General features: G+C 39.3%; 1 protein-coding gene across 9 annotated transcripts in view; it reads left to right on the forward strand.

The window, feature by feature from the left end:
- PTH2R (parathyroid hormone 2 receptor) overlaps positions 1–24,979 on the forward strand; it is a 134,815-nt gene extending 109,836 nt beyond the window's left edge. For 4 of the 9 annotated variants that reach the window (NM_001371905.1, NM_001371906.1, NM_001309516.2 and 1 more), the window contains 4 exons: positions 11,543–11,637; positions 19,485–19,623; positions 21,112–21,153; positions 23,737–24,979. In NM_001371905.1, the coding sequence (NP_001358834.1) occupies positions 11,543–11,637; positions 19,485–19,623; positions 21,112–21,153; positions 23,737–24,132 (672 nt within the window). In that variant the 3' untranslated portion in view covers positions 24,133–24,979. Of the gene's footprint in view, positions 1–341; positions 426–11,542; positions 11,638–19,484; positions 19,624–21,111; positions 21,259–23,736 lie in introns of all 9 variants that reach the window. The other 5 variants (NR_163994.1, NR_163992.1, NR_163993.1 and 2 more) reach the window with 4 other exon arrangements.
- The last annotated feature ends 1,397 nt before the right edge of the window (positions 24,980–26,376 follow it).

Here is a 26,376-nt window from a genome sequence, read left to right on the forward strand (position 1 = left end):
AGATAACTGATTTTTAGAGATAACCATAGACTGCAGTATAAGTTTGGAAGGAATCACTTAATTTTGGAATTGTAGGGTCTATAATTATAGCATTGTTGTTTTCTGTTTTGTTAAAGTGTGTTAAAATTATGTTTAAGAGAACTAGAGTCATTGGAAAATACTAAATTTTGTTCTGAAAATAAATGTCCCCAAATGTAATCATTTATCAGACACCTGTGTCATCTTGATGTTGATTTGAGGATGATTTTTTAATTCTTCCCTGTAAGATCAAAATATAAGAGAAATATTTCCTAATTAACAAAAGAACGTGATGCTTTGTTTTGGTTCTGGGCCTCCTGGAGCATCATGAGAAGGCATAGGGATGCTCAGCCTGAAGAGCAGGAGATGCTGCAGGCAGGACAGCTGGCCTGAAAGAAGTGGGAAAGGTGAGATTGGTTGAGTCAATACATTTTGACCAAGCTGGGGCACTGACTGAGACATAAGCACCTGCATTTGCACTGATGTCAACCAAGAGGCACTATAACAGCTGAAACAAAATAAAACCAGAGACACAAAAATACAGATTGGGAAATTGAGCAGACTTACTCTTGGGTACTTATGAAAGGGCCTTGAGAATGCCAGTATTATGGTGTGGAGAGTTATATGGTACTAGCAGAAACCTGAGATCTTGAATTTACCGGTTAGGGAAAAGAAAAGGAGGAACTGTGGTATTTGTCTTTATGTAAATATTTCCTTCATGCTGTGTTACTCTCCCCATTCACCCATCCTTTCATCCAGCATCCAGTGATAGGTGATCAAACTGTCTTTCTAGGCCCTGCTCAAATTTTATCTTTACCAAAATGTTTTGATATGGTTTGGCTGTGTCCCCATCCAGATCTCATCTTGAATTTCCACATGTTGTGGGAGAGATCTGTGGGAGGTAATTGAATCATAGGGGCAGGTCTTTCTTGTGCTGTTCTCGTGATAGTGAATTTGTTATGAGATCTGATGATTATATAAGGGGGAGTTTCCCTGCACAAGCTCTCTTCTCTTATCTGCCGCCATGTGAGAAGTGCCCTTTCATCTTCTGTCATGATTTGAGGCATCCCCAGCCGCATGGAACTGTAAGTCCATTAAACCTTTTTTTTCTTCCTATTCTCAGGTATGCCTTTATCAGCAGCATGAAAACAGACTAATAAAGTAAATTGGTATCAGTAGAGTGGGGCACTGCTGAGAAGATACCTGAAAATGTTTAAGTGACTTTGGAACTGGGTAACAGGCAGAGGTTGGAACAGTTCAAAGGGTTCACAGACAGGAAAATGTGGGCAAGTTTGGAACTCCCTAGAAACTTGTTGAATGGCTTTGACCAAAATGCTGATAATGGTGTGGACAATGAAATCCAGGCTAAGGTGGTCTCGGATAGAGGTGAGGAACTTTTTGGGAACTGGAGCAAAGGTGACTCTTGTTATCTTTTATCAAAGAGACTGGTGGCATTTTGTTCCTGCCCTAGAGATTTTTGGAACTTTGAATTGGAGGGAAATGATTTAGGTATCTGGCAGAAGAAATTTCTAAGCAGCAAAGCATTCAAGAGGTGACTTGGGTGCTGTTAAAGGCATTTAGTTTTAAAAGGGAAACAGAGCATAAAAGTTTGGAAAATTTGCAGCCTGACAATGCAATAAAAAAGAGAATCCCATTTTCTGAGGAGAAATTGAAGCTGGTTGCAGAAATTTGTATTAGTAACAAGGAGTCAAATGTTAATCCCCAAGACAATGGAGAAAATGTCTCCAGGGCATATCAGAGGTCTTCACAGCAACCCCTTCCATCACAGGCCTGGAGGTTTAGGAGGAAAAAGTGGTTTTGTGGGCTAGGCCCAAGGTCCCTGTGCTGTGTGCAGCCTAGGGACTTGGTGCCTTGTGTCCCAGCTGCTCCAGCCATGGCTGAAAGGGGCCAATGTAGAGCTTGGGCCATGGCTTCAGAGGGTGCAAGCCCCAAGCCTTGGCAGCTTCCATGTGGTGTTGAGCCTGTAAGTATACAGAAGTCAAAAATTGAGGTTTGGAAACCTCTGCCTAAATTTCAGAAAATGTATGGAAATGCTTGGATGTCCAGGCAGAAGTTTGCTGCAAGGGCAAGGCCCTCATGGAGAACCTCTGCCAGGGCAGTGCAGAAGGGAAATGGGGGTTGGAGCTGCCACACAGAGTCCCTAATGGGGCACTGCCTAGTGGAGCTGTGAGAAGAGGGCCACTGTCCTCCAGACCCCAGAATGGTAGCTCCACCAACAACTTGCACCATGTGCCTGGAAAAGCTGCAGACACTCAATGCCAGCTTGTGAAAGAAGCAGGAGGGGGGCTATACCCTGCAAAGCCAAAAGGGCAGAGCTGCCCAAGGCCATTGGAGCTTTCCTCTTTCATCAGCATGACCTGGATGTGAGACATGGAGTCAAAGGATGTCATTTTGGAGCTTTAAAATTTGATTACTTCAGTAGATTTCAGACTTGCATGGGCCCTGTAGCCCCTTTGTTTTGGCCAATTTATCCCATTTGGAATGGCTGTATTTACCCAATGCCTGTACCCCCATTTTATCTAGGAAGTAACTAACTTGATTTTGATTTTACAGACTCATAGGCAGAAGGGACTTGCCTTGTCTTGGATAAGGCTTTGGAATGTGGACTTTGAGCTGTTGCTGAAATGAGTTAAGGCTTTGGGGGCCTGTTGGGAAGGTGTGATTGCTTTTGAAATGTGAGGACATGAGATTTGGGAGAGTCCAGGGGTGGAATGATACCTAAATCATTTCCCTCCAGTTCAAAGTTCCAAAAGTCTCTAGGGCAGGGACAAAATGCCACCAGTCTCTTTGATAATAGATAACAAGTCACCTTTGCTCCAGTTCGCAACAAGTTCCTCACCTCCAAATCTCATCTTGAATTCCCACATGTTGTGGGAGGGACCCAGTGGGAGGTAACTGAATCATGGGGTCACTTTCCTGTGCCATTCTCATGATAGTGAATAAGTCTCATGAGATCTGATGATTATATAAGGGGAAGTTTCCCTGCACAAGCTCTCTTCTCTTGTCTTCCACCACGTGAGATGTGCCTTTTACCTTCTGTTATGATTGTGAGGCATCCCTAGCCACATGGAACTGTAAGTCCATTAAACCTTTTTTTTGTTTTCAGTCTCAGGTATGTCTTTATCAGCAGCATGTAAATGGACTAATACAGTCTTCCTTTGTCTCTTAACAAAGTTAATCTCCTATATTTTATTAATCATCTGATGAATAAATGTTTGAGTCTGTTTTTGTTTCAAGCATATTTCAGAGTCTTTTTTTGCATTAATCCTCAAATAACTTTTAAGTAGGTATTTTTATTATTCCCAGTTTGGGTTCAAGAAAGGTTATGTAACTTGCCTGAGGTTATACATTTAGAAAATGCTGAAGCCAAGGTCAAACCCAGGTAATGCCATGCCAGAGCCCACAGTTTTTGCTCTTTCTTGCCATAGGATTTAAGCTAGAGCAGTGTTTCCTTATGTAGGGGCACATACCCTGGTGCATGAGAGGACTTAGGTGGTATATGCAAGGTCATTAAGCATTATTGAATCATATATGAATATTGGTCCATTTCCAACCCTTCTGAACACATCAAGGAGAAAGTTTTATTTTGGTCCTGGTCTTGAACAACACTCACATGTGTGGTGTCTTTCTTTGGGGGTAGGGGGAGGTAAGACAGGCAACCCAATCTAGATAACATTTCATAAGGCTTTTTGTTTCCATCATATGTATTTCACAGTTGTCTTTTATTTATAAAAGCTTCTACTGGTTCTTTATTTATGTTTAATGGTATGAAATATGAATTTTAATAATTTAATGAAAGTTGATTGAAGAAAGATATGAAGTAGGCAATAGTAGGTAAATAATATCAATATGGCAAAATCATGATGATGGCACCCTAAATGACTTATTTGGAGAACACTGGACTGGACAAATTCCTTTAACAATGAAACCTGAAATTACACAAAAGTCCTGGCCAGTGTAAGCAGTGGGTGTTCACATGGTTGTGGGAGGCTAGTTGTGTTTCATGTGATCAGACACTTTAGAAGTGTACCGTATTGCATTTTACTTACTAGCTCTGTCTTCCCTGTGTGCTCCTCATGGGGAGGGATGATCTATTCTTTTATTTTCCTAGAATGCCTGACCTTTATTGGTGCCTAGGAAATATTGGCTGAATGAAAATATAAATATATATTTAATGATATTACTTATAGTGGATCATAAGATTATATGATAAGCATGCCACATGTAGGTACCTTACAATCATTTAAAATATAGTTTTCTTCATAGTTAACTGGCATAAATATATCCATATTATTGTTTCAATTTTATAACTGACAATACCGGCACACAGAGAAGTATGTGACTTAGAATTATAGGGTTTTGGAGCTGGGGGTATCTTAGATTTTGTTGAGTCTTACTAACTTTACTAGTCTACAAGCAGTCAAACTCATATCCAAGGTCATACAGGTCATTAGCAGAGGAGGTGCAACTCATAATAGTTTTTATTATAGGGTTGGTAGTTGTGTGAACAAGTGTATGAATCCTGTGTGAACTCTTAACCAGTTGCTGACTGTACTATGATTTAGCCCCTTTTAAAATGAAGTTTTCTAAAAAGGAAATTGGATATTGTAATATCTACTTCATAGGGTTATTAGGAGGACTATGTAAGATTATTAAAGGGCTTAATATAACCTATGAAAAGCATTCAGTAAATAGTAGCCTATAATACGGCAGTAATACTACTACTAGTGGTAGCGTGGTAATAGTAGAGGTGTAGTAACAGAAATGGTGGTTCATGTAGTAGTGATATAAGCTTATCCAAGTCTTTCTGACGCCATCATGAAGTTCAGAATAGGGAAGAGACAACACCAAACTCTGTCTGGAGGGCTTAATAAAGGAAACACCAAGAAGGTGAGATTTGAACTAAAATTATAAAGGAAGACTAGAAATCACTTACCTAAATCACTTAATAGGTAAAGCGCAGAGAAGGGTTTTCCCGGCATAGAGATTAGCCCATGCCAAGTGGGCATGTTATGTTTTCTATGGCTGGAAGGAACAATGCATCTGCAGAATATGCAGGAGATCAGACTGTGGAGTTTGATGGGAGTGGACTCACATGTCATGCTAAAGCACATTGGAATTTTCCTTAAAATTGTGATGAGACATCAAAATATTTTAAGCAGGTTAGTAAGTGGGTCAGATTTGGGTTTTAAAAAGAAAACTCTAGAGGTGTTATGATGGATGGAGAAGATGAACTAGCTTGGAGACGCAAATGTCTAAGAGAGGTACTATTCACCTTTAAGTGCATAGTCCTGTTTGATTGATTCTGACATCTGTATGAGAGACTGTACTCTTGATGCAACCTTCTAAGAAAGAGACAGGAATTAAAGAGTTTTATTAAAATGGTAACAACTGTAAATAACTGTCAGCTGCTGATGTGAGTAATGGAAGGAGATCAGTGCTGCAGCAGCTGGTGAGCTTGGGCAGCAAGCGTGATGGCAATCCATGGTTTTTGCTATTTGATGAGAGTTAGTCCCACATATTCCATTCATTTAAATCCATTTCTTTGGAGATGCTGTAAAGTCTCAAAATATTTTCCTTTATAATGAGTTGATTCATCTTAGCTGAATTAAAATGTGAAAATGCAACAAGGAGAACTTTTTTTTAAAGAACCAAGAAAAGGTAAATATTGTCATAAAATGTAAATGTATAACTAATTTAATGACATATCTTTTATATTTGAATAATAGAAATTTCTTCCAGGGTCACCTTTCTTATAGTACATACATCTAAGCTATGCTTACAGAATAGGAGTAATAAAAGAGAAAATCCTAAACTCAGTGTTTAAAGCAACCCTTAACTGGCATTAAAAAAACAAACACACCATAAAACCTATTAGGGAATTAGGGTCTGGCACTCATTGAGACTTTAGAATTCATATGCTTATTTTTTGCAGTAGTTCAGGCAGTAGTTCCTTTTCTGGCAACTCCATAAAAATAATTCATAGAATCAAAGAATGTTCAAGTTGGGAAGCATTTTGGGGATATCTTGTCCAATGTTTATCTGACAACATTATTGCAGAGATTTTGACCTTTAAATAACCCTCCAGAGAACTAACGTAACTGACACCTTGTGGTTTGCATTAGAGATGTTGATGGGTATTAGGAATATATGGGGCAGTGGAGATTCTTTCTTTTTCAGGTCACTTTTTATTGGCATATATTTACTTACTTTTAGATGTTTGTTTCATCATGCCTCACATCATCATTGTGTATCCAAGCTAAGAACTAATCTTTCTGGTCAATAAACAGTTTGTGGTGTTTATCATGGGTTTGCTCATTGTATCAGTAATGATCAAATTTGAATATTGAATGACATTGAATGACTAAGCAAGTAGGTGACTCCTGAGGAAGCTGCATACTACATAGAGTGCATTAAATACTGAGCTAAATTTTTTTTAAATAAATGTTTTGTTTTGCATACCTGTCCCAAGGTATCTTAGGGAGCTCTGGCAGAAGGAATAAGATGGTATTTCTAGTAAAGGCCTTTAGGAAATATTTTAGGTGATAAGTTTAAAAAATATTATATCTAGTGCACTTTTCAAAATATGAAAAGAAAGGGACAAACAAGGTACATGCTTCTCAGCTGCTCTTGGGTGAGTGATTCATTTTCTCCCAGTTGCAGGGAGAGGTGCAGTCACCAAAAACAAGGGTTGACTAGGAAGGAAGGAATTTTAAGAAAAATGGATAAAATTTAATCTCTGATCATTGACACAATTATAAATACCAAATTGATTTTTCCCCCAGAGAAAAATCTCCCCTTCAGAACTCCTTTTCTTTTCTAAGTCAGTTAGAAATATAACTTTAAATGAAATTAAAGCTCTAACATTTGCCATAGAAACTGTCTCCAAGTTATAAATTGAATTCCAACTGATTAGAAATGAACTATATATTTTGTCTTTATATTTGTGATACAGATAATCAAATTATAGTATTTGATAGAGATCAGGGAGTTTATTACCTGTTATGTAAAAGTTCAGCATTTAGTACCAATATGCAAATAAACAAAGCAAAAAAGTTCTTATGTTTGTGATATTGAAAAATAAGCCAATACATGGGGTGAGCAGATATGATGTATTTAGAGTGTCTCTGAGGGAAACTAACACATAGCATCTCTCTTGGCTGCCCTGATTCTAAACATGTTAAGATATAAAGTAAGGGAGTGAGGGAGAACCTTATTGCTGCGGGAGGCTGGGGTGGATGATGTGACCCTAGCTCAGTTAGACAAGTGGATCCACTGAAGAACCCCATAATTAGTCAGGATCTTCCCACCTGGGCACAGGATGCTGAAGGGTAGGCTCCTATCCCTGGAGACGCTGCAGAGAAAGTCTGCTCACTGCAAGTTACCTTTTCTATGCCTAAATTTTGACTTCTTTAAATGATTACATCTTTTGCGAGTTATGCCTAGAAGTGAAAATTCTACATTGAAGGGGGATGTGCTGATTTACCTCAGTATAAGTAGTGTTTAGAGCACGCATATCTCATTTGCCTATTTATTCACTCTCATTGGACAAATCTTGATTAAACACCAAGAACATTGCAGGCCCTGTGTGAGGCAATGGAGAGGAGAGAGTAGAGGAGAAGATAGACATGAATTTCTTCTCCCACAGCTAAAGTTTAGTGAGTGAGACTAACATTTAAACATGAAAAATGCTTCTGAGAATAAGTGACATTCAGCCTGAACCCTGAGAACTTGGCTAGGAAGGGCGAATGAGTGGAGAGAGTAAACGATCCAGGCAAAGAAAACTCCAGGAACCAAGTCTCAGAGACAGGACAGCCTGAGCAGCCGGCACTTCCATGGCTGAAATGTTTTCTTTGTTTTAGTTCATCTGTGGTTCACTCTGAACAAATCTTTACTTTTATTTAAATCATTAATTGCAGACTACATATTGGGTACAGTGTACACTGCTCAGGTGATGTGTACACTAAAATCTCAGGAATCACCACTAAAGAACTTAGCATGTAACAAAAAAAAACCCCTCTACCCCAAAACTATTGGAATTAAAAAAATGAATCTTTAATTGCAAAATAATTTGATTTCTATATTTGCATTATTTTAAAACCATATTTACAAAAAATTCATTCTATGTGTTATTGGCTTTAATGTTTATTAAAGGTCATGTTATTCTAAGCCATCTCTCTTTTTTTAAATTTCTTTGCTTTGTTTTGTCTGTAGTTTGCTTCAAGCAAAATTTTTCCTACATGAAGTTTACATGAAATACACAAGAACCTTTTAATGATTTTTTTCTTAGAATTATGTCTTAATTTAAAAAAATTACTACTAGTACTAGCACTACTACTAGTACTAGCACTACTACTAGTACTAGCACTACTACTAGTAGTACTAGCACTACTACTAGTACTAGTACTACTAGCACTACTACTAGTACTAGTACTACTACTACTAAAATCTCACCAGAAACTTCCTCTTTGTCTTATTCTCTTTTATTTCTTTTGCCTGGTATAAAATGTCACCTTCCCATTTGCAGACTCAAGTCTTCCTTTAGTGCAAGATTTTTCTTCTGTTATGTTTTTATTGATTTATTCTATTGTTATCTTTTCTTCAGAAAAAGAAGTAATCTGCCACATCCTCCAGATAGGCATCTTATACCTCATATACCTCCTCACAGCTGTCTTTGTTCTTCTTCTTTTCTTTTTTTAGTGGCTTAAAAGAACATGCGTTTGTTCTCTTACAGTTCTGGAAGTCAGAAGTCCTAAAATCAATGTGTCAGCAGGGCTGCCTTCCTTCTGGAGGTGCTGGGGGGAGTCCTTATCCTTTTCAGCTTCTAGAGGCCACTGGCATTGCATGACTCTTGGTCCCTTCCTCCATCATCAAAGCCAAAAGTGTAGCGATTTCCACTCTTATATCCCTGGCCACATCCTCACTCGAACACCCTTTCTCAAACTCTCAAGTCTTTGTTCTTTTTCCCTCCCTTTCGGAGGATTCTTCAGGTGTCTCCTAAATTGCTGAATTCATTTTCTTGCTTTGTCAGATCTACTGTTTTTTGTTCTAATAGTGATTTTAAAATTTGGTTATATTTTAGATTCCTTATAATCTTTTGTTAATCAATCCTGCTCTTAAATTTCTGTCTCCATCTCAGTCTACTATTAACTCAACTCTATTTTATGGACACCATAGTGCAGTGGTTAAGGGTGTACAGTGTGGATCCAGGCCGCATGGGCTGCATTAAGGCCCTGCCGCTTGCTAGCTGTGTGGCTGGGCAAAATATGTGGAATCTGTGCCTCAGGTTCCTCATCTGTGAAATGGGGACAAGAAAATGCCTGTCTCATAGAGCTGCTGTGAGACTAAGAGTCAATTCATTTACCATAGTTAGTAGTCAATAACTTAGTTTCTGATTAACCCATAGTCTATATTTTTCTAAATTATTCAGAATAATTATTTAGAATTTCATCCAGCTGTTCTCGCATGTATCAATATGTGTGTATATATGTCATGTGTGTATTTTGTTACTTATCTTTTAAGGCATCAAGTTTTACTTGGTCTTAATATTTTAAAATTCTTAATTCTTTCCATAGTCAATTTGGTTGGCCTTGAACGTATCTTCTCAGTTATTAAATGGGTGGACTCATCGGCATGTATTTCCTTTAACCAATTTTTCTGGGGGTGGGGGGTGCAGATTTATTTAGTGTAGTCTACTAAAGGACAGAGTGCTTGGTCCTGGGTCTTTTAATAAGGTGAAGCTTAAGGTTGGCCCATCAGAAGCCATCTATACTTCTTCCTTTTCCGGGATAAGGTGTGACAAATGGCAATCCAGCTGGTATTGCCCCACAGCTCTTCCAGCTTCAGCTCCTAGCACTTAGTCCTTCACCCAGCAGTTCCATGCATCACTCCCCAATATCTTCACCTCAGCTACATCGTATTGCCGGTGACTGTTGTCTTAGAGAGACAGGAATTAATGGGGCATGAAATAAATCTTGTCATTCAGAAAGTAGCACTCACGTGCTTCTTTCTCAGTGACCTGAGCAGTACTCAAGTAGCTTTTCACCTTCTTATTAAAACAAAATCTATCTGTGAGCTGCGAGTTGTAGTGGGTGAAGATGGAAATCCTCAACTCTCATGTTTTGCATCTTTTTGTCCTCCTGAACAGAAGGTATCAGATGGTGGTTAAGGATTCACAATACAGACTCACATAGACCTGGTTCAAATTCTAGCCGATTGGTGGATATTCCAGGTTAAAGCAGTTAATCTCTTTGAGCTAAAGTTTCTTCATCCATAACAAATGGATGTAAAAAAATAAAAGTGTCTCCTCCATGTTCATGTAAGGTTTTAAATTAGAAAATGTTTAATAAATGGCAGCTATTATCGGCCTGGAAACATCCCTTTCCTTTCATCAGCTCACAGCACAACTTTGATTTTCCCCCATGTGTGGGGCTCAAGACCTAGCCCTCAGTTCTTGTAGAAAGTTGTGATTGTTGAGAGGTGCTCACAGGGTTGTCAGTGGTCGGATAGCAGTGAGTTTGGTGGGGTGTTCAGGGCTGATACAGTCAGTCAGCTGAATTTGGGACTGAGGTGCACAAATCCTCTGATAACCAAAATTCTCTAACTTCTAGAAATGATTGAGGATTCTGCCAGACAAGTTATCCCCAGGACTGCAGGACTTGATGGCTTTCTCTTCTGCCCCTGCTCTGGCAGGGACAAGTGCCTACTGTTGGCAATCTACATTTCCATTATTCCTAAGCACTAGCACTTTCTGGAAAGCAGACATCTCCCTGAATGGAGGGACCCAGAGTTTCAGGCCTCCATCCCCTTATGACCCCAGACCTGGAGACATGTTCTTCATCTTCATCTGGAATGTCTTCACTGATCCTTGAGGTCCTCAGACAGAAAGGGGCTTATTCCTTCAACACTCCCCTCCCTCCCCTTTTAAAAGCCAGAACTTGATTATCTCTAATGGTATTCACACTTATAACATTCAAAAAATCAATCTCATTGACTACACTGGGAGCCTTTTCTTATGTAACATCTTACTTCCCTTTAAAAAAAAACACACACTTCATATCACCTTCACCCAATACTTTTCATACATCATAGACAGAGTGAATCCCCAAAATAGCTCTATTATTCCTCTCTCTAAAGTAGAGAAGTAGCTGAGAATTCATTTTAAAGAGGACAGTTGATTACATTTATATAATAACTATTACCCTTTGTCCTGCCACTTTGCCAAAGGGCTTCATCTAAACTTCAGTTTAGAAAGCTCCTGTGGATCCCAGCAGATCATCCTCTGGTATTTTCAGTGTTGTTGAAACTTTGTATTTCTTTGTGTTTTCATGAGGGTGAATCAAGAATCACTAGCCTTCCAATATCTGATCTCAGGTTCCCCTGTTCACATTTATGAAATGGGCAATTTTTCTTATTTGAATGGAAAAAATTTCAATTTATGTAAATGTTTATAAAAATCTTGAAGACTAACAATAATTCTTTGTAATCTTACCTTCTTTTTCAGCTGAATTTTATTCTGTTTCTGAATACGGTTAGAGTTCTAGCTACCAAAATCTGGGAGACCAATGCAGTTGGGCATGACACAAGGAAGCAATACAGGTAATTTCAGGAGAGGCATCCATCAGAGGAAATATTTTGGTTACTATTTCTTTCCTTTTTTTTTTTTTTTTTGAGACAGGGTCTCGCTCTGTTGCCCAGGCTGGAGTGCAATGGCACAATCTCGGCTCACTCGCCTCCCGGGTTCAAGCAATTCTCATGCCTCAGCCTCCCGAGTAGCTGGGATTACAGGTGTGCGCCATCATATCCAGTTAATTTTTGTATTTTTAGTAGAGATGAGGTTTTGCCCTGTTGGCCAGGCTGGTCTCAAACTCCTGACCTCAGGTGATCTGCCTGCCTTGGCCTCCCAAAGTCCTGGGGTTACAGGTATGAGCCACCATACCCGGCCTTTGGTTACTATTTAAGTAAAGAACAGATATAAATTGATTTGAAATATCTTTAAGAGATTAAATTTATGAATGTATATTTATTGTGTGATTTATCAGAAAAGCATATATATATTAAGAAAACATAAGTAACCCCAAAAGCTACCCCTTGTGCTTAAATTCTAAATATATTTTAAGATCTGTTTTTAGCAGATTGGGATGTTCTCATCAACTATATATGAACTCCCAGAAAATATCTTGATGATCTTGGCAGACAATTTTATTTGCATTCTACAAATATGTCATAACTGAAAAGATCAAGTGGATTTGCTGTATTGTTTTTAATCTTTACATCAAATTGTCTCTCACTAAATATGCAAATATATTGACTGAGAGAGGTCCATTCTTCAGCCTTTCATGAAGAAAAGGACAAATCGAATGTTTGTGATTATTATCAAACTATCTTAAGGTTGTGTGCATTTTGCATAATTATCATTTTGGAAATTCTGAATATTAGTGGCATCTATCCAACTGGACACATACATCTAGTAATCAGGTAGATGTGGATTTGGCTTTATAATCTCCAGTTAACTATTTATTTCTGTCTCAGATTGTTATGAAATGCTATCTCAGACACAGAGAGGAAAAACATCATAGTCAGCATTTTGATCTTCTCTCACAAATCTTCCATAAGTCCTCGTTGATTTAGTCCTCTCCACCATTTAGGTAGTTATTGTGGGATCTGGCCAGCAGCCCACAATGCAACGGGGCTCTCTCTTTGTTCCCAGGCGGATCGGCAGGTTGAGAAATAATAGACACACACAAGATAGTGAAAGCTGGGTCCAGGGGGTCACCGCCTTCTGGTCCCACAGTGCCAACAATGCACTGGATATACCAGCATTTATTATTAAGTTTAGTGAGGGTGGGGTAGGTTAGTGAGAGATTTAGGGTCGTTTGATTATGAGGTGAGATGGTCACATGGGGATGAAGTAATTCTTTAACATAACATTTGTATGCAGAAGTACAGTATACAGAGATAAGAATTTACAATATAGTGTGTGCATTAGTAATTTCTAACAGAGCCTTAAAACAGAAACACATTCTTTCCATAACCTATTATTAGCAAGATATTAATCAGCAGTAACAGTTGCAGCAAAAGCTGATTACAAACAATCCACAGAAAGAGGAAGTGAAGCTAGACAACCGGTTAGACCAGAAATTCTCAGAAGGGAGTATGCCTTAACCCTAAAGAGGCCTTGAAGAGCTGTCCAAGATGAGGGCGTTTATAGCCCTATCTTATCCATATGGACAGGCACCCCCCATGCGTCCGTTTATAGGCTCTCCACAAGGGTCGCTTTCCATTCCCAGAGCCACGAACATCTGCTTTTCTGGGATAGGAATCTTGGTGATGTGAAGCCTCCCTGACTGCACGTCCATTCATAGGCTCTCTGCAGGGGGAAGCACATCACGTGCTGTTGGCTCATTCTGGCAGTCCAACCTGGCATTGTCTTTACATAATCCTGCATGCAACTTTGTATTTACAATAATCAGGAGCATTTCAACTTTTATTCCTTAGCAATAGTTTCAGGGGGGGTCCCTGCAGGTAGTATTTACTGTTGAGCTGCAAAGACTACAGGTATGACCTGCAGGATTCACAGTATCCTATGCCCATAGAATGCACAGTATTAATAAATCAGCAGCTGCTAGTGCCAGTTATTTTTAATATGCTGTCAGTGGTAGTATTATACATTGTGCATGAGTTTATGGTGAAAGGTCTATGCTATACTAATATAGCTTGTCTCTCATGTCACATCCCATCTGAGAAGACATAGGCCAAAGGATAGAATAATAAAAAATGTAAATAACTTTTCACTCTTCTTCATAAAGTGGAAGAGTGTAGTGGTGTTTAGAAGCTACTTATTTCTTTAGTTCTGAACAAAGCTGCTTATTTCTTTAATTCTGAATGACGTGAACTAATACTTTTAGTAAAGTGTTGCTCAAAAGACATGAGAAATTTTGGAGGGAACAAAGGGTGGCCTATCTTTAAAAATGGATAGAATAGACAATATTTTGAATTAATTCATGGAGGATTATTTCCAAGAACAATTGAAGAGAATAATTTATCAAGGATTGAAATAATCAACTACTCAGAATTCAGAATAACTTTGAAATAATCTGGTGCCCCAAAGATTTCAAGTATGAAATTGTTAATGAGAACAGTTTAGACTAATAGAAGTCAGAAAAAGTATTTTTCAGCTAAATACATTTTTTAATGGCTGAAACATATTTAATATCCTTAATTATGTCCAAAGTTAAGTCACAGATAAAAATGTAGTGAAGAGTGATTCTTTTTTCAGAGAAAAATGTGGGAACCTACTTGACACCAATTTGAGAATTCAATTCCATATTCTGTTTCTGAGGCCTTAGATTTCCAAGTTTAAATAGCATCTCACTTTTTAAATAGGCTTAGGAAAATTAAATCTGTGTCCCTGTCTCAGTGACGTTCCTACGATAAGGGTTAATTAAGTATTTAAATTTATATCAGCTAATTTTGTACCTTTAAACTTATCTTCCATTCTGTTATTACCTTTGTCTAACAAATGTTCAAATATTCTTGCTAAAATAAAACAATACAAAATTTCCAAATGGTGGCATCTAAAACAGTTACAGAGCATGTTTCCATGCATACTACTATGAAAAACAGAAAACACCTTTCGGAGCTGAGATAATCTCTCCAGGTGAATGTGTGCTCACACACAAATAAGAAAGACTTCTGAAAAGTACATAAAATCCCTTAGTTGGCATGGTGGTTTAAAATGGAAATGAGTGAATCAATCAGTTCTTAAAACAACTTTTTATCTTGAGATAATTGTAGATTCACATACAGTTGCAAAAATAATACAGAGAGATCCCATATATCCTTTAACCAGTTTCCCTCAATGGTGGCATAGTGTATAACTACAGTTTACAATCATTTACCCTAAAACAAAATTGTGTGAATAAAATTCAGTCATCTATTAGATTTAATAAGATGGATAATACATTTTTTTCCTTTTAAATTACAACTCAAACTCAATTACTTCATAAAGTAGGAAGAGGTTGCCAGGTCTGGAAAAACAGATATGAAAAAATGCAAGATTCAGTGAAAAAGAATACTTGAATGTTTTGACTAATTTCACTTCCCATTTAATGTTAGACAAAACTCATATTTAATGTTTATTTTTTTAAAATAAATCCAACCGGTATTTATTACGTAGCATGAGAGTAAAGAGGAGAGGTTTTAAGGCCGCATCCATCACTTACTGCATCACACTGAATGGATACTTTCTCTCTGTGAGCCTCTATCCTCTCTTGGCAATGGGATAATAATAGCTCTCTCCCATGGTTGTTAGAATAAAATGAAGCAAACAGCATGGGATGTAACAGGAGCATGGTGCTTAATGGCCAGTAGTGTCATGCTGAGTGCCCTCCTTGAACCCCCAATTTAGGTGGGGATGGGTAGAGACAGAGAGAGTGGGAGAGATAGATACTATGATTGATTTAATTAAATAAAATGGGGAAAGTACCAACAGAGATGCCCATACAAAGTGCTATGTATACAGAAAAGAGTGAAGGATTAATTCAAGGCCACGGGAATTGATCAAGAAAGGCTTAAGAGCAATAGTAATTTTTTAAAGCTAAATTGATTCTTAAAAGAAAATCAGAGATTTTCTAGAGCTGCTCACCTGGAGAGACATCACCTAGGGAGAGAGAGCACAGAATTAGGAATCTATTTTCTAAACAGGACACTGAGTCCCAAAACCACCTGACTTCTTTGCATTCCTCTCGTGGCTTTGCCCTTGGACACAGACCACACCATGTTTCCAGCAAACCAGAAGACTGCTATCAGTTGGTACATCCCTGAATCATCTTATTGGACAGCTGTGCATTTTCAGAGAGCCAGGGTATAAAAACGTACAATGTGCATGGGTGGCCATATGGACGCTGAAAAAAATCAGTGCCCAGGATTGCTACATGATTTGAATAGAGAGTAAAAGTCCATTTTAAGTGAACAGCCAGACCCATGACCCATGTACACATTTGCCTGGCATATGCAAACTAGCAAAGCTCATCAGTATTCACAGGGCTATAATTAGTTACATTCCACTGGACAGAATTTGTATTTCTATGGGCAGGAATTATTTGCATTACTGTGGTAGGCATATTTCTATATTGGCCCCCAAGATTCCTGCCCATGGGTGTATAAGCCTTGTAAAATCCTGCTCCCCCAATACCCTTCGCCTTGAGTGTGGTTAAGACCTATGATGGGGTAGCCTTTCCATTGGTTAGTTTACTTTATATGACAAAGATGTTAGGATAGTCATTCCTGTGATTATGATGTGTTATATAAGATTCCATCCTGTGAGCTTGGAGCGAGATTCTCCTGCTGGCTTTGAGGAAGCAATCTGACATGTTGTGAGGGCCTATAGCTAGAACCTGAGAAAAGCCTGCAGGTATTGTGTGACCACTGGTTGACAGCCAAAAAACAGCCCCGCAACTGCAAGAATCTGAGATTTTTCAAGCAACCTGAATGAACTTAGAAGTGAACCCTGAGGCCCAGATAAGAATGCAGCCAACACTTTAATTTCAGCCTTGAGAGACTGTGGGCCAGGGGCCCAGGGTATGTGCCTGGACTCCTAGCCTATAGAAACTGAGAGAGAACAAATGAGTATTGTTTTAAACCACTAAATTCATACTAGTTTGTTATACAATAGAAAATGAATATAATTACTACCTGTTTTTAATAAACAAACTTCTATCTCCATGGAGTTATAGAAGAGCTTAGTCCTAGAAAAAAAGGGAGAAAAACCCAGATGGCTGAGCCTGGAGGATACCCACTACATTTTGGTTGCCTAAAGCAAATTTTCCTTATTCTGCATTGAACCAAACTGTCCCCAATGTTTACATTTGTGATAATTTCACAATGTGCTACACTGGTGTATTTTTTGTTTTAACTTAATTTTGGGCTCCTAGTCATACACAGTAGGAAAAATCAGTAGCTTGATTTTGAGAACGGTCTCTGGGAGGATTTACCCTTTCATCTTAAAGGAGGAAATATAATTTTTGTTTAAGAGTGATGTTAGACAAGACTTTCAAGGTTTTGCAAGTGAGTTAATTCTGTCCCCTTTTATCTGATTAGGCTGAACTAAAATGCCATGAAGGCACTCAGTGTCCTGCCCACATAGGCAGTGGTGGGAAGGGGGCACTCACCATCAGGATTCAGGAGAACAAGCACATCCCAGGGAGCCCTGACGGTTGAAAGGACCAGTTAGGTCAGAGGAACCCACTGTTTATCAAGGATCTTGCCTTGGATGGAATAGATTTAAGGTAGAATCTTCATATTGAATAGGCTGTAGGTAACTCAAAGTAGGAGGTGTGAGTACCAGGAGCAGCATAGGAGAAAGCCCGTAGGCTGCAGGGAAGCTCTGAATGTGAGGATGAGTGGGTGGAGCAGATGGTTCAGGTACTAGTGAGAGATAAGACAGGCAGAGGACAATGAGGTGTAGGAAATGTACAACTCTACCTACTTCTACATTAGGCATTTCAATATGATTTCAACATGATTTTATGGGACATTCTAGCTCCTATTGTCAAGAGGGTTATGATAGGAAAGTGTATGTACATGGAAGATGATTCCCAGTAAAGCCTGAGAATATTATAGCTCATATGGACTTCTAGGCCCTATTTCCTCATTTTGGAGATAAAACTAAATCACACTCACACAGGTAGTTAATATCAAGTATGGAACCTGAATCAAGATCTCTGTAGCCTTAGTCTAGTGTGATCTGTACTCACTCATACAGCTTATTTCCAAGAAGAAAAACAGATAAATAAAGCAGCAGGAGGAAAGACTAGTGAGAAAGGAAGAGGGTCAATTGTTTGAGATTATTAGAGTGTAAATAATTCACAGAGAAAGGGAGATATTTGCAATAATTATGAAAGAAGAAGCCAGATTTGGCAATTTCTTGGATAAAAAGTATAACCTCACCCACTCCAGGAAAACCTCCCAGAAAATAGTATGCTTGAGGGTGCTAGCTATCTATTGCTGCAAAAGGAATGACCACAAACCTAGCGGCTTAAAACAACTCCCTTGCTATTTCCCAGTTTCTGTAGGTCAGGAATCTGGGTATGGATCCCCTGCTTCAGGATCTCTTACCAGGCTGCAATTGATTTGTCAGCTGGGGCTGTGGTCTTATCCTAAGGTTGGACTGGGGAAGAATCTACTTCTAAGTTCATGTGATTGTTGGTAGGATTCAGTTACTTGCTGGCTGTTGTCCAGATGCCACCTTTCCTTGCTACATGGGCCTCTCAGTATAGCAGCTCACAACATGGTGGCTTGCTTCATCGAACCAAGCAAGAGAGCCAGTCTGCTAGTGAGATGAAAGTTACAGCCTTATGCAATGTAATCTCAGAAGTGGGATGCTGTCATCTTTGCCATAATCTACTGGTTAGACACAAGTCCCAGGTCTTGCCTACACTTAGAGGGAAAGGATAAAACAGGGGCAAAAATAGCAGGAGGGGGGATCATGGAAGCCCACTTAGAATAACCATCATATTGGAAAGCCTGGAATTCTTCCAAATACTTAAGAAAACTTGTAGAAAGAGGCAGTTAAGGAGAATGATGAAACTATATCAAACTACTTAGTTTGCCAAAAAGACAGACAAAATAGACCTAAAGGCACCTTGAGACAGAGTATTTGGCAGAGAATATTCAGAGAAGTCAAGATGAACTGACCACATATGGCTCATAGAAAAATATAAAATGTCTCCCAAAATAAGCATCATCAGTGAAAAATGGAGATACAAATGTAAGAAGAAACAAGGGAGTAATTGATTTTAAAATGAACAAAATAAGCTAAACTACTTCTATGAAAGTAAAGGCAGTTAATCTGGATAGAAGTAACACTTCTTTAAGTCTCAAATATAGAAGTTAAAGGAAACTTAGGACAGAAAAAAGGCATTTTACAACTTTATGTAAATAGACTCCTTTAAGCAAGAGGAGTGGAAATAAGACTGGAGAGATTTAGGGGCTAGCAATTACAGGGAGTGAGAATAAACTACCTGGTTTAGTATGTAAGTGACAGAAAGAGGAGGGAAGGGAAAAAACTAGCAGAAGCAGTGGGATCCAAAGAGATAGAGAAAGGTCAGCCCAAGCCTGGGCAACATGGCGAGACCCCGTCTCTACAAAAAAATTAAAAAAATATTCAGGCATGGTGGCAAGCACCTGTAGTCACAGCTACTTGGGATGCTGAGACAGGAGGATTGCTTGAGCTCAGGAGGTCGACACTGCAGTAAGCTGTGATCACGCCACTGTACGCCAGCCTGGGAGACAGATAGAGTGAAACCCTGTCTCAAGAAAAGATAAAAAGAAAGTGTCAGCCCCACCCCCATTAGCTCTGCTAAGTTTTTTTTTTCCTCCAGCACGCTGTCTTTACTGAAAGGCACTCTAGTTAATGAATGAAAAGACTTGCTGTTCTCCTTTAGGAAACTGGCCAAATCGACACTGGTCCTGGTCCTAGTCTTTGGAGTGCATTACATCGTGTTCGTATGCCTGCCTCACTCCTTCACTGGGCTCGGGTGGGAGATCCGCATGCACTGTGAGCTCTTCTTCAACTCCTTTCAGGTAAAGGGTGCTGCCTAGTCATCTGATTCTTGTAATTTGCAGTTTTTTTTCCTTTTGGTCACTTACAACCTTTTTCTCTGCACTCTCTCTGGCTTTGATGCACCTGTCTGGGGAGTTGGGGGGTGCAGAAAGGTCAATATTTCTATAGTGCCTGTGCTTTTCTGTCCTATAGAGGTCAGGTTAATCCTCTGCTCACAGCAGGAGCAGTTCTGGAGCTGTTCGTCACACAAAAAAAGCCTGGACAGAGAGATAAGGAACATCTTGTTGTAAAATATGTAACACCTATAAGAATGAGGACCTCTGCTTGTGTGTATGGAAGATAAACAAAAGTAAAAGAAGGTGAAGGCAGGAAAGAGCAAAAAGGAGTGGGGAGGGGAGACAAAACTGAGGAAGAGGTTGCTGGCACACATTTTATCTCATTTGAAGCTGTAATTACCATCATCTCGCACATGGATTACTCTTTGTCCTGCTTACTCATTTGCTAGTCCACATATGATAGTCTGGAGAATCTTAAGAATATACATTTGATCATGTCATATACTTGCCAGAAATACTCAAAGATTTCCAGTTGCAGTCAAACTAAAACTCACATACCATTGTTTGGCATACACAGCCCTGCATGTCGTGGAGCCTGTCTGCCTCTCACCCTGTATCACACCAGCCTCCATGTAGCTCATTAAGTTAGGGCACAATATTGCTTCCATACGTTCTGTTGCTTAAGTTCACCTCTGCCTCTAGGGCTCACACTTGTATTCCTTTTGCCTGGACTGCTTTTTCCCCAAATATTTACACAGCTGGCTACTTGTTCTTGTCACTCAAACACACTTGAGTATCACTCTCAGAGATACTTTGTTGAGTTCCTCATCTAATACATCCACTACATTACTCTTTTTAAAATCACTCATTTCTTTTCTTGCATAACCCTTCTCATTTTGCATTTTTCTCATGTGCTATTTGTTTATATTTTATCCATGTCTCTTCCTTTCTAGAACAGGGAACTTGTCTGTTTTGTTTACATTGTTTATCCCTGCCCCTGTCATGCTGAACAGCTACCACACTGCATAAGCTCAGTAAATATTTTTGAATGAACGAAATAAAAGGTTTCTTTGTATTCTTACCATACAATACTTTATGTTTGTAGTTTTCAGCATTTACAGCTTATAACTTCCTCTTACCAAGCAGAGGATAGGTATTATGTGATCCATGGGTCACAACATAAATGAAACTAATAGGATAGAAACCTATTCCTTGTGTATCTTGGAATGCTTTATTTAGTGACTTATTTGGTTCAGCTGACACCAAGGAAAGACGTCAAACAAATTTAATGTAAACATAAGGATTTGGAAACACTAGGAGAGAATAATTTGTATATAATTCTCTGAAGGAATCATAAAAAACAATTTTTGGACGTACACATTTTGGCACAAGATGCTTAAGTGCTGTGAGTTTCTGAGTTGGCAGTGGGCTGACTTTCTCTTTTGTCTGCAGGGTTTCTTTGTGTCTATCATCTACTGCTACTGCAATGGAGAGGTAGGTTTGTAGGAACCTTGGACAGGTCTCGCTTCAGCTTGTAAATGGCCATCACAATGTATCCTGAATCTCTTTAGAATTTCCAGGATTTCCAGGATGGAATGGGTGAGGAGAAGGAAGCTATTTTAATCATAAATTATTTTGGAAAAGAAAGAATTAGTGCAAATAACCTAAAGTCTTCCTCTTCTAGCACTTTTAAATGTGAACTCATCTGTACACTCTGACATTAAAAAGCAACTTGTTGGAATACAAACAGACACTTGGATGGACAGTGAACATCATATTCTGGTTAATACTTAAACTTCTATTCCATTTTAAGTTCTGTACAAAACTTATTAGTTTCCCTGGGACAAATTCATTCAAATATTTTGATGTTTTTTGAACTATAAGATGATGATGGGACAATTTTAGTTCATTTAGGAGTTGGCTGGAGAGAAGTAACTACACTAGATAATAATACATTTTACCTTGTAACTTTTAATATGCCCTGCTGTTGGATGAGCTGCCATGTTTCTTCTCTCAAATTTTAAGCTTGCTGCAGGCCCCAGAAGTGCACAGATACTTTTATTGCGGTACACCAGCTGATGCTTCTGACCATGTTTAGGGTTTGGACATTGTGGCATGCTAGTCCAGTGCTTGCAGAAAGAGCTTAAATTAATTTCCTGACTTACTTGTGTATTGTTCTTACCTTATTTTGCAGGAGGGGTAAGTAGGTCAGTTTAAGAGTTAAAGAAAGAGGAAAGAAACCCAAAAAGCACTCAACAGTCAAAGATGGGTTTATTTAGGAGAATAAACCTGGGAGGGGCTTCTGGCCAAGTTAGGTCAGAGAGCCTTCTCTCTTACAGACTAAGAGTTTTTAAGGGTTCAGGGTGGGAGAGCTTATCACAGGCTTGGACTGCTTCTGTATCTCTTTGTCTTGCTTATCTGGGAGGGAGAATTTTTGTGTTTTATCCATACATCTTCCTGCAGCTGCAGGCACAGCCCCTCCTACCCCCCGCCCCCCAAGTCTGCTTTTAGCTTCCATATCTTGGTGCACCTAAAGGGAAAGGAATGTATTTATTAGGACCCACTGTTTTACTGGGGTCCATTGTAGACTGTGAAGTTTTGTGGTTACCCAAGAGACTTTCTCCACTTCCTCTGTGCCCGAGCTGTCTTATCAGTGTTTTATACTGTCTGCTCTTTCTGGCTGCTTGTTGTTAGAAGGGAAGTGATTTCCTCAAAATGCATGAGGTTAGAAAGGGAGCTGGACTTAAAGTGGTGGTGTTTATCCAAGATGATGGTGCTTCTGCTCTGTCAGTCAGGTGTTGATTTGTTTTTGCCAAGATGAACAGATAGAAGTTTGTTGTTTCAGGTGACATCAGCATACTGGATTTCCACTGCTTCCCATGGAACTTCCAAATAAACTCTCTTCTGAAAAGTGGCAATTGAAGTAGAAATGAATCTTCAGTAGTAGGAATGGAAATAAGAGCCCCACCCTATTAAGAATGCATTTGCAGTGCCTGCTTTTCTATCCACGAGCCTTCTTTTCTCACTCTGACTCCTTTAGGCTGCCGATGCAGATTGATAGCATGACAGTTACATTTCAAATTGAGTACCTTCTACGCCATTCCTCAGCCTCAGCTGGTGCCAAAGACATCAGCAATTTAAGTGGTGAAAACAGATTTTATTCAGTAACTACTGACAGCAGGGGAAAGAGCTGAGCCCAATTCCACTTCACACAGAAGTGATTTGGGCATTTTAAAGGGAGAATGAGGGAGGTGGAGTGTAAGGGCTCAGTAGAGTCAAAGAAGTGAAAAAATATTTGGTCAGTATAAACACGTTTAGGCCAGCTGTGCTAGCAATCAGGCAGTTATTTAAGATAGAATTCTATCTTCCCACAGAGACTGGGAGACAAGAGGCCTTATCCCTCTTGATTTTTATATTTTGAAGGGATGGCTCTCAGGTCCTTGAGAGAGATGCTTCTGAGTTAGAAGAGCTACATATTTACAATTGTGAACCTTTTTAGTAAATGCCCTAAGAAAGGGGAGTCATGGGCCTATCATCAGGTGTGTGCTGGCTAGAGCAAATAGTAAATTCTCCTGGCAGCACTGAGCTTTCTCAGGCAGGCACTATCAATGGCTGAGATCATCCTAGGGATGCCACCTTGTGCTGCTAGAACCATGCTTGAGTTTGGGCAGGTCTCAGTGCAGGGGTTCCAGTGGGCTTGTCATGTGCCACGCGAGAGTTCTGAAGTTCTCACTGGCAATGTTTATCTTGAGTTTCTCTTCCAACCCAGAATCTCCTTTTTTTCCTCTCCCATATGTCAGGTATTTCTATGGGCTGCATTTAAACTTCTGTTTAAAGTCTGATCTTGGACAAGTCCCTTCACCTCTCTCTAAGCTTCAATTTGCTCACCTCCAAAACTAACACCTGTCTTGAAGGTTTTTTGAGGTTGAGAGAAAGTCATAGATAAAGTCCCTGGCACGTAGAGGAACCTCAATCAATGATTATTGCTGTCATTGAAATCAAGGCAAACATCTTTGTAACAAGGCTGCAGGGTCTCCTTTAGGATTTCTCATGCACAGCATGTTTCTCGTGGCTTAGGTTCAGGCAGAGGTGAAGAAGATGTGGAGTCGGTGGAACCTCTCCGTGGACTGGAAAAGGACACCGCCATGTGGCAGCCGCAGATGCGGCTCAGTGCTCACCACCGTGACGCACAGCACCAGCAGCCAGTCACAGGTGGCGGCCAGCACACGCATGGTGCTTATCTCTGGCAAAGCTGCCAAGATCGCCAGCAGACAGCCTGACAGCCACATCACTTTACCTGGCTATGTCTGGAGTAACTCAGAGCAGGACTGCCTGCCACACTCTTTCCACGAGGAGACCAAGGAAGATAGTGGGAGGCAGGGAGATGATATTCTAATGGAGAAGCCTTCCAGGCCTATGGAATCTAACCCAGACACTGAAGGATGCCAAGGAGAAACTGAGGATGTTCTCTGAATGGACATTTGTGGCTGACTTTCATGGGCTGGTCCAATGGCTGGTTGTGTGAGAGGGCTTGGCTGATACTCCTATGCTTGAGTTCAAAGGCTGAAAATTCAGTTAAGGTGTTACTTAATAATAGTTTTTAGGCTCCATGAATTGGCTCCTGTAAATACTAACGACATGAAAATGCAAGTGTCAATGGAGTAGTTTATTACCTTCTATTGGCATCAAGTTTTCCTCTAAATTAATGTATGGTATTTGCTCTGTGATTGTTCATTTTTTTCTGCTACTTTTGGGTAGAAAAAAGATTCAATTGCTTGGCTGTAGCTTTCTCTCATATATATCACCCTAAATATAATGAAGATCTTTTAGTGTGTATCATTTTCCTTTTAGAAACTAGTATTCTCTTATTTCTTACTTTAATGTACTTCTATCACTGCATTTATTTTGCCTGTGCATAGGAGCAATTAGGATCTAAAAAAATATATGGGAAGATAAAAGATCTAAGAACAAGTACTTGCTGGAAAATTAGTTGGCTGGACATTGATAAAATAATGCATTTATAACAATTACATGTGTTTCTGGGAACAAGGAAAATTTCTCAAAAAAGAATATTTCACACATCCCTTCTTTTGAATGGCCTCTTTGTGACCAGCCAGACCTCAGGTCTTCACTCTTTCTTCTTTGTAAACTATGTCATGTGGAAAGATTTCCTCAGTTAGTGAGCTTGTGTCTGCAAATTGATTTTGTTTGTAATGTATTTTGATAGCAAATCATGCTGCATCTATATCTTTTTCTTGTTTGAGCTGTTACTACATTGTACATGGCATGTGGGATCAATTAAAAATTTGTTTTAAAAATACATTTTGGATCACTTTTTAAAATTTTTCTTTCAACGTCTCACTTTATGTTTGAGAAACACCAAACTTCCCTTCTCCAAATGTATACATATCAACATTTAGCTTATGTACTTTACTTAACTTGAAATTTCAGTATGTTGCAGTTTTGAAAACATGTATTGAGGGCATATTATGTATCAGCAGGCATGCTGCTAGGTTCTTACAAGCATTCATTTATTTAATTCTCACTATAGTTTATGGATTAAGTCTTATTACTGTCACCCCTTTTACAGATGACAATGTGACTCGTGGAGGTGGAGTTAACTTGCCCAAAGTCACACAGCTGGTCATCGACAGCTCTATTGACTTTAAGTCCCATGTTCTTAATCATTATGTTGTATTGTCACCAGTATATATGTAGCCTATTAACCCATCAAAAATTCAATAAGGCTGGGCGCGGTGGCTCATGCCTGTAATCCCAGCACTTCGGGAGGCCGAGGTGGGTGGATCACCAGGTCAGGAGATCAAGATCATCCTGGCTAACACGGTGAAACCCTGTCTCTACTAAAAATACAAAAAATTAGCCAGGTGTGGTGGCACACGCCTATAGTCCCAGCTCCTTGGGAGGCTGAGGCAGGAGAATCACTTGAACCCGGGAGGCAGAGGTTGCAGTAAGCTGAGATTGTGCCACTGCACTCCAGCCTGGGCAACAGAGCGAGACTCTGTCTCAAAAAAAAAAATTCAATGAATTCTGAATAGAGAGTGCTTTGGAGTCTTGCACTGTAGTATGTTTTAGCCTCTGATCCTTATAACATTTCCACTCAAGTGGAGAAGACATACACCTAGGAAATAAAAAAAATCACAGAACAATATGTTTCCAGATAAAATGATATGGATCAGGCTGATCTATGTCATTTTGCTGAATGACTTAACCAATAGGCAAGTAGTTTCATGATGAATAAGGTGCTCCAATATCGATAAACCCTCTTGAAAAACATTACACTTTCCTTCCATGCTTTTTCTTTCCTTCCTCTTCTGTGCCATAGCAGAGGCCATTTCCACCCTTCCTGTTTACGAAGGTGCCATTGTGCATATGTAATTCACCTGATTCAATTCTATATTGTTAATTCCCCAGGGTACCTCCCTGTTAGGAGAGAACCATCATGAGCTGAGTCAGAGATTAAGTTCTATTGCTAATTTTATGCAAGGCTTTATAAAATCACTTACCTTCCCGTATAGTTCAATTTTTCCATCTTTAAAATGAATACAATATATGTCTAGCTCAGAGCGATGTTCTGTGTTAAGGCAAAATAACATGTTGAAAGCACTTTGTAATATAAAATTTCCATACAAATACTTGGTTTAGGTTCTTGTTTTAAGTTAAATCTCATTTTACCCCTTTATATTACAAAAGCTCTCA

Source organism: Homo sapiens, chromosome 2 (genome assembly GCF_000001405.40).
Source record: "Homo sapiens chromosome 2, GRCh38.p14 Primary Assembly".
NCBI lineage: Eukaryota > Metazoa > Chordata > Mammalia > Primates > Hominidae > Homo > Homo sapiens.